The following is a 7,472-nucleotide window of genomic DNA, read 5'->3' on the forward strand; positions in this document are numbered from 1 at the left end:
TTCAGATTATAAATTTATTCGAAAACCTGCAAAGCCTTAATAGCACATGAGTACATGAAGGCCACTAATACTCTGAAAATAGCACCTAGTCCCTGACCCATTTATCCTCCATCCTCCATCTGTACCAGAAAAGGGGAACAAAGATGTTGAATTTATGGCCAGTTCCTCAAAGGTCTGCTGCTTCTTGATAATGAGCAAATTGTTCTTTTCTTAACTTTGTTCTTACTTTTAGGGAAGTCCTTGCTCTAATTTTGAGAGGAAAGTAGAATTCTAACTGTAAAATAAAGGTTCTTGGCTACTCTGATACATATATCATCTAAAAGTGTAACTGACCCTGACAGTGGCCCTGTCTCCTAGGACCCCCTCCTTTCTCATAGAATCCAGTACACTGGAGAGATGGTAGAGATGGTACCTGATCTGCTGCTGATGTGATCGCTCCTTCCAAAATGTCCAGATTCCGATTCATTAATGCCAAAGCCTCCTCACGAGACACTGGTGTTAGGGTGGCATTGGGCAATATCGCTGCATGCTCATAAACAGCTGCAGTGAAAGTGTCCTGGCAGCTGGCTCTTGAGACATAGAAAAGCAAAATTGCCACGTAAGCTGGCAACTGAGTAGTCATGCTGAAGTCCAATGAGTGCTGAAAAACAGAGCATGTCCTGGTATTTATAGAAAGAAGACACGTGGTGTCCAGAACTTAGTACCTTAAACTACGGAAGTTAATTAAGAAAACGCTATGATTTCATAGCATTGTTACATAACAAAAGACCCTACCTTATTGCAGTAATTTGTGAAGATTAACTCAAGAACTCTATGTACATTAGTTCGCTAGGGCTGCCTAACAAAATACAATAAACTGGGTGGTGTAAAAAATAAAAAATTTATTGCTTTGCAGTTCTGGAGGGTGGGAGTCCCAGATGAAGGTGTCAGCAGAGTTGGTTCCTCCTGAGGGCGGTGAAGGAAAGATGTGTTCCAGGCCTCTCTCCTTGACCCATAGATGGCTGCCTTCTCCCTGTGTCTCTTCATATGCTATTCTCCCCATGTGTGTGCCTGTATCCAAGTTTTCCCTTTTTGTGAGGACACCACTCTAATCTTTAACACAGGGAAAGGGAAAATCCCAGCTCTAGCTTTTTTTGTCATCGTTGTTGTTTGTTTATTGTTGTTGTTGTTTGAGATGGAGTTTCACTCTTGTCACCCAGGCTAGAGTGCAGTGGCGAAATCTCGGCTCACTGCAACCTCCGCCTCTCGGGTTCATGTGATTCTCCTGCCTCAGCCTCCCAAGTAGCTGGGATTACAGGCGCCCGCCACCACGCCAGGCTAATTTTTTGTATTTTTAGTAGAGATAGGGTTTCGCCGTGTTGGGCAGGCTGGTCTCAAATTGCTGACCTCAGGTGATCCACCTGCTTTGTTTTTATGCCAAATAAGGGCAGAAGAAAAAAGCCAACTGAAGGTCATAAACCCAGGGGTACAGGCTCACTGAAAGACTGAGACTCAATCATAGGACCAATTCGATTTAGTGCCCACTGTACTCCAGTATAACTTCATCTTAACTAATTAGATCTGAAATGACCCCTTTTCCAAAAAAGTTACATTCTAAGATACTGACAGTTAGGACTTCAACATATAAATTTTTGGAATTCATATATTTTGGAATGTCAACACAAGACATTCAAATAATTTTAAAACTTTATTATTATTTTCATGTGAATATTTCAGCTCTACACTTTGATTTACTTTATTTTCCTCAAAATGGGGAAGCCAGGACAAAGAGGAATACAAAAGAGTTACTCATTTTCTATTGCTATATAACAAATTATCCCCAAATTCAGCAGCTTCAAAAAGCAAAAATACATCATCTCCCACTTTCTCTGGGTCAGGAATCCAGGGGCAGTTTAGCTGGTGCCTCTGGCCCAAGGTCTCTTTCACAAGGCTGCAGTCAAGCAGCTGCCAGGGCTAGCTATATCAAGGCTTGACTCCAGGAGGATTCACTTCCGAGCTCCAAGCTCCCTCATGTGGCTGACGGCAGGGATCAAGACCTCATTGGTTGTTGCCCAGAGACATGAGTTCCTAGTGATGCAAACCTCACCATAGGGCAGCCCGCATTATGGTATCTGGATTCCCTTAGAGCCAGACAGCAAGTGAACCCACTGGAGATGGAAGCCACGGATGCTTCGTAATGTAATTGGGGAAGCAACACCTCATCGCTTTTGTTGTATTCTATCCAATAAAGCATTAGGAACCATCTTTGAAGCTGCTTATCACAGAGGCAACAGAGGTGTATAAAGAATCAGAGCAAAAAAAAGAAAAAATGAGCTGGGGAGCGAGATCCAGAGAGAGGAGAGGGAAATTATATAAAATAGAAAAACTGTTCATAGATTTTGATATTGAGTAAGCTGGCAAATTTTGTTTCAGTTGTGCATTAAGTATAATATTTACAGAATTAGTGTTTATGTTTTTCCATTTTATTTTTAGATCTATTTGTCTTTGAATGGTATTTTTATAGTTCAATCTGCAAACAGGCATATCTAATTTTTTACTTTAGTAACTATAATGCATTTATTCTGCAATTGCCAAGGTAACCCAGGGGTTGTGGTTGGCTGGTTCTCCTGAGTTTCCGGTAAACACCAGCTTCTCTAACTGCTTGCTGACCTCTTAGGGCCTTTCCATGCCCAGGTGGGTGGGAATACCACATATTTCACAAAAAGATGTCATTATTATGTAACAATTTGTAAAAGGAAGCACTGAAATAAAAGTTAAAACTGAGATGAGTTGGCAAGAGGTTAAAAAATTACTTCTTGACCTTCTTAGATTAAAAATATTAAACCTCCCGTGGAGTTTCTAGTCCAACTCATAAAGAGCTTGGCAGTCATTTTTCCCATGCTCACACCAAGAAAAAAGCTAAACAAATGAAAATCGACAACTTTTCTAGGATGCATCAGAGAATTGAGATCACAGGATAAACTGCGGTCCTCAGAACTGCAGAGATAGGCAGATACAGAGGTTAAGAGTGTACTGCGAGCAGAGTCCTCTGCGGCTGGCGCCAGTACCGTGGGTTCACTTGAACTGTAATTGACGAATTGGTGGAGGCTCAGGGTGGACAACCTTGAGAGTTCTGGTCTGTTCTTCTTAACAAAAGCCTGCCCTCAAAGTAAAGTATTTTACCAGAGCCTAACCTACCTAGGGGAAGGAAAAATGCCAACCCCAGCCACTCTAATCTTTAACTTGGGGAAAGGGAAAATCTCATCTCTAGCTTGTTTTTATGCCAACTAATGGCAGAAGAAAAAAGCCAAGTGAAGTTCATAAACCCAGGGGTACAGGCTCACTAAAAGACTGAGACTAAATCATAGGACCAATAACCTTGTCCCTCCTCCAGCATGTCACTGCCACATGAATCTACCCTTTCTGGCCTACTTAGCATGTACTAGCTGAGAGCAAATCTTCAGATGAAATAATGCAGTTCGGCCAGGCGCGGTGGCTCATGCCTATAATCCCAGCACTTTGTGAGGCCGAGACGGGAGGATCACCAAAGGTCAGGAGTTTGAGATGAGCCTGACCAACATGGAGAAACCCTGTCTCTACTAAAAATACAAAAATTAGCTGGGCATGGAAGGGAGCAGTGTGGGGGGCGGGGGCGCCTATAATCCAGATACTCGGGAGGCTGAAGCAGGAAAATTGCTTGAACCCGGGAGGCGGAGGTTGCCTCGAGCCGAGATTGCGCCATTGCACTCCAGCTTGGTGATAGAGTGAGACTCCGTCTCAAAAAAAAGAAAGAAAGAAAGAAAGAAATAGAAATAGAAACAGTGCAGTTCTTGCAGTAGAGTATCATCAGCAGGACATGGAACTGGGAGGCACCAGCAGCCTCTACTACAACTCCTAGGCTGGTTCTCTGGATCCTTAACCCTACTGCTACAGCCAGCCAAGGTCCCCAAATGCAGCCCTTCTGCTCACACAAAGTAGAAACTGGGAGAATTGTCTCCAAGGAAATGACTTTGAGTGTAGACAAAAGCCCTAATTGATACCTCCAGACTCCTCCAACCAAACTTGCATAGATGGAGCAGATTGCCTTTTGCAAGGAAAACATGACATCGCACTGTCCAGAATAGGGCAAGACCCACAGTATTCTGGATTTTGCTAGCACAGCAGTGATCACCCCACCCCAGGCAGCAGGTCCCCAGAGGAACTCAGAAGCAAGTCCTGCCCAGCTTACGCAGAGAGAACCAGAAACAAGGGAAAAGGAGGGAAGAGCAAGGACTGAGTGGAGTGGGCACTGCCTCTTGCACTTCACCTGGTGAACTCTGAAAAGCCATGTGCACAGCATGTAAAAGTGTGTCCATATACTTGTGTCTGATAAAAGATTGATTGGCAGTCGGCCTCTGCATTGCTACTCAAAATATACGCCCATATTTTAATATTTAGTGGCTACAACACAATGTCAATTCTTTTGTTGACATTAATCTGGTTTTAGGAGAAACAATCCATTTTTCCTCTGGTCTCATAGCACAACAACTAACACAAAAGACTGGTTACTCCCAAGTAGGTGGAGATTTCTCCCCACTAGAAAGCAAGCAATTGACTCTGCATCAGACATCAGCTGGCTATCTTCCAGTTCAATCCAAATACTATTTATCCAAAGATAGCATCAGATCCCACATGTTAAGGGCTCAGTCCCACAAAACCGCCCCCTCCTTCCCACCAGTAACAAGTCTGGGCTTCCAGATCTTCCGACCAAATGGCTCTGGGTTGGGGTTTCCATGACCCCTTTTTTTTTTAGTTCAATTAGTTTGCTAGAGTGGCTCACAGAACTCAGGGAAACACTTACCTTTAGTGGCTTATTGTAAAGGATATTACAAAGGATACAAATGAAGAGGTGCATAGAGCAAGGTATGGGGGAAGGACTGGAGAGCCTTCCACGCACCCCTAGGTGTGCCACCCTCCAGGAACCCTCCACGTGTTCAGCTGTAAGGAAACTCTCCGAACCCTGTCCTTTTGGGTTTTTATGGAAGCTTCATTACATAGTCACGATTGACAACCATGTAGAAATGCGATTGGACAAAAAGGTTATGATCCCATACTAACAGTTTGAGTGGGGAAACCCAGTAAAGCTTGTCTGTTCAGGTTTGTCTTGACATCTCTTTATAGCATTTCTTCCTCTAGGGTATGGGGTGGGACCCTCTCTGAAATGAGGGTCTTTTGAGCCACAATCAGATTATAGTCCTGCCTTAGGTAGGTAAAGGGAGGACAGGGTAAGGTCAGAGAGGGAGATTCTGTTTCATGAGGCCTGCTCCTGAGGCCTAAAACCCCCTAATGTTAAAACAAACAAACAAACAAAAAAAAAACCCTAACAAAGGATATGGGAGTTATAAGCCAGGAACTGTAATATCACAAGTTGCTAATGTTACAATAATACATATCTCTGCATAGGACTTAATAAAACTATTTTTGCATTGTTAATGTAGCCTGTAAACATGATGATGTGGCTTGAACTTGCTCTCATGAAAGAAAAAATTTTTTTGTTTACCAGTGAGTTATACTCTGCTGTATCAGAAATATTAATTAAAGCCATAAGAGTGGCTTCACTATCCATAGAAAGATTTTAGATAAGGAAGATACAGCTGTGAGAGCTGAGTCTAGCAGAGTGCATCATTTATATCAATGACAAACAAAATAAATGTGGTTGGAGGAGGGAGAAGAGACAAAAAGGTCAACGAAAATAAAAAGCGAAAGGCATTAAAGTGTGGGGGGTAAAATTACTCCAAGAAGTACAGGCTTAGTAAGAGCTGAGAACTGACCATGAGATTTGACTTTTTTTTTTTTAGACAAGGTCTCACTCTATTGCCCAGGCTGGAGGGCAGTGGTACAATCTTGGCTCACTGCAGCCTCTATCTCCTGGGCTCAAGTAATCCTCCAACTCCTGAGCTCAAGTGATCCTCCCACCCCAGCCTCTCCAGTAGCTGGGATCACACTAGCATACTCGGCTAATTTGCTGTTGTTGTTATTGTTTGTAGAGACAGGGTTTTGCCATATTGTCCAGGCTGGTCTCAAACTCCTTGGCTCAAGCCATCTGCCTGCTTTGTCCTTCCAAAGTGCTGAGATTACAGGTGTGAGTTATGGTAGCCTGCCCCGAGATTTGATTTTAAAGTTCCTTTTAATAAAGAGGGGGGCAGGAGTCAGCTTACATAAAAATGCCATGAGGTGAGAGGTGCCAAGGAAGCTGGGGCAACCAGAGTACATAATGCAGCCTACAGACAACTGGCTTAGGAAAGAGAAGAAAGAATTCTAGAAGGAACAAATGTAAGGCGATAAAGAGGGAAGATGCCCACCTACTGCACACAGAGGAATCGGGGGCACAAACCTAAGATCCGAGAGTGATAGTCCCTGAAGAGAGAATCCAGGAAAAATGGGAGGGGGAAACCGAGTGCATTTTCTGCCACCCAGAATATCTCTGACTTACTGGTACTGGACTGAATTATAGCAGGTGGAAATAAACACCTAGGAAAAGTTCAGAAATGCGTTTGTCAAACATTCTGTGGACAAAGAGGTGTCTCCTACATAACCCAGAGAACCCAGCTGCTCTTCAGCATATCTCTTTCCAGAGTTAATCAGTGACCAACCAGAAAAATGACTAAGAGAGCCAAGACAGTGGGCCAGAGGTATCTGGGGAAAAGGTGACATGGTGGTCCTGTCTAGGAAGCTCCCAGCCTGGCACAGCCTGCAATAAACCCCTGACCACTGAGAAGGGCTCAACCAAGATTGGGTAGATTTCAGAACAGAATAATTTCAGAAGGAAATGAGATGTGATCTGAACGACATAATTTATTTTATTTATTTATTTATTTATTTATTTATTTATTTATTTTTTGAGACGGAGTTTTGCTTTTCTTGCCCCAGGCTGGAGTGCAATGATGCGGTCTCAGCTCACTGCAACCTCCGCCTCCTGGATTCAAGTGATTCTCCTGTCTCAGCCTCCCGAGTAGCTGGGATTACAGGCACGCACCACCACCCCCAACTAATTTTTGTATTTTTAGTAGAGATGGGGTTTCACAGTGTTGGCCAGGCTGGTCTCAAACTCCTGACCTCAGGTGATCTGTCCACCTCAGCTTCCCAAAGTGCTGGAATTACAGGTGTGAGCCACCGCACCCAGCTGACCTAATTTATTTTTCAAAAAATTTCTGTTTTGGCTGGCCCTGTGGCTCACACCTGTAATCTCAGCACTTTGGGAGGCCAAGGATAGCAAATCACTTGAGGTCAGGAGTTCAAGACCAGCCTGGCCTGGCCAACATGATGAAACCCCATCTCTACCAAAAATATAAAAAATTAGCCAGATGTGGTGGCGTGTGCCTGAAGTCCCAGCTACTTGGGAGGATGAGGCAGGAGAATCACTTGAACCAGGGATGAAGGGGACCAGCCCCTCCATGCCTATGGGTATTTCTCGTCAGATGGGATAAGAGACTGAGAAAAGAAATAAGACACAG

The 7,472-nt window shown here is 43.7% G+C and overlaps 1 protein-coding gene across 1 annotated transcript in view; it reads right to left on the reverse strand.

The window, feature by feature from the left end:
* VNN1 (vanin 1) overlaps window positions 1–642 on the reverse strand; it is a 33,207-nt gene extending 32,565 nt beyond the window's left edge. Inside the window, exon 1 of the mRNA NM_004666.3 lies at window positions 413–642. Coding sequence (NP_004657.2) covers window positions 413–622 — 210 coding nt within the window. The 5' untranslated portion in view covers window positions 623–642. The remainder of the gene's footprint in view (window positions 1–412) is intronic.

This window comes from Homo sapiens, chromosome 6 (genome assembly GCF_000001405.40).
Source record: "Homo sapiens chromosome 6, GRCh38.p14 Primary Assembly".
Taxonomy (NCBI): domain Eukaryota; kingdom Metazoa; phylum Chordata; class Mammalia; order Primates; family Hominidae; genus Homo; species Homo sapiens.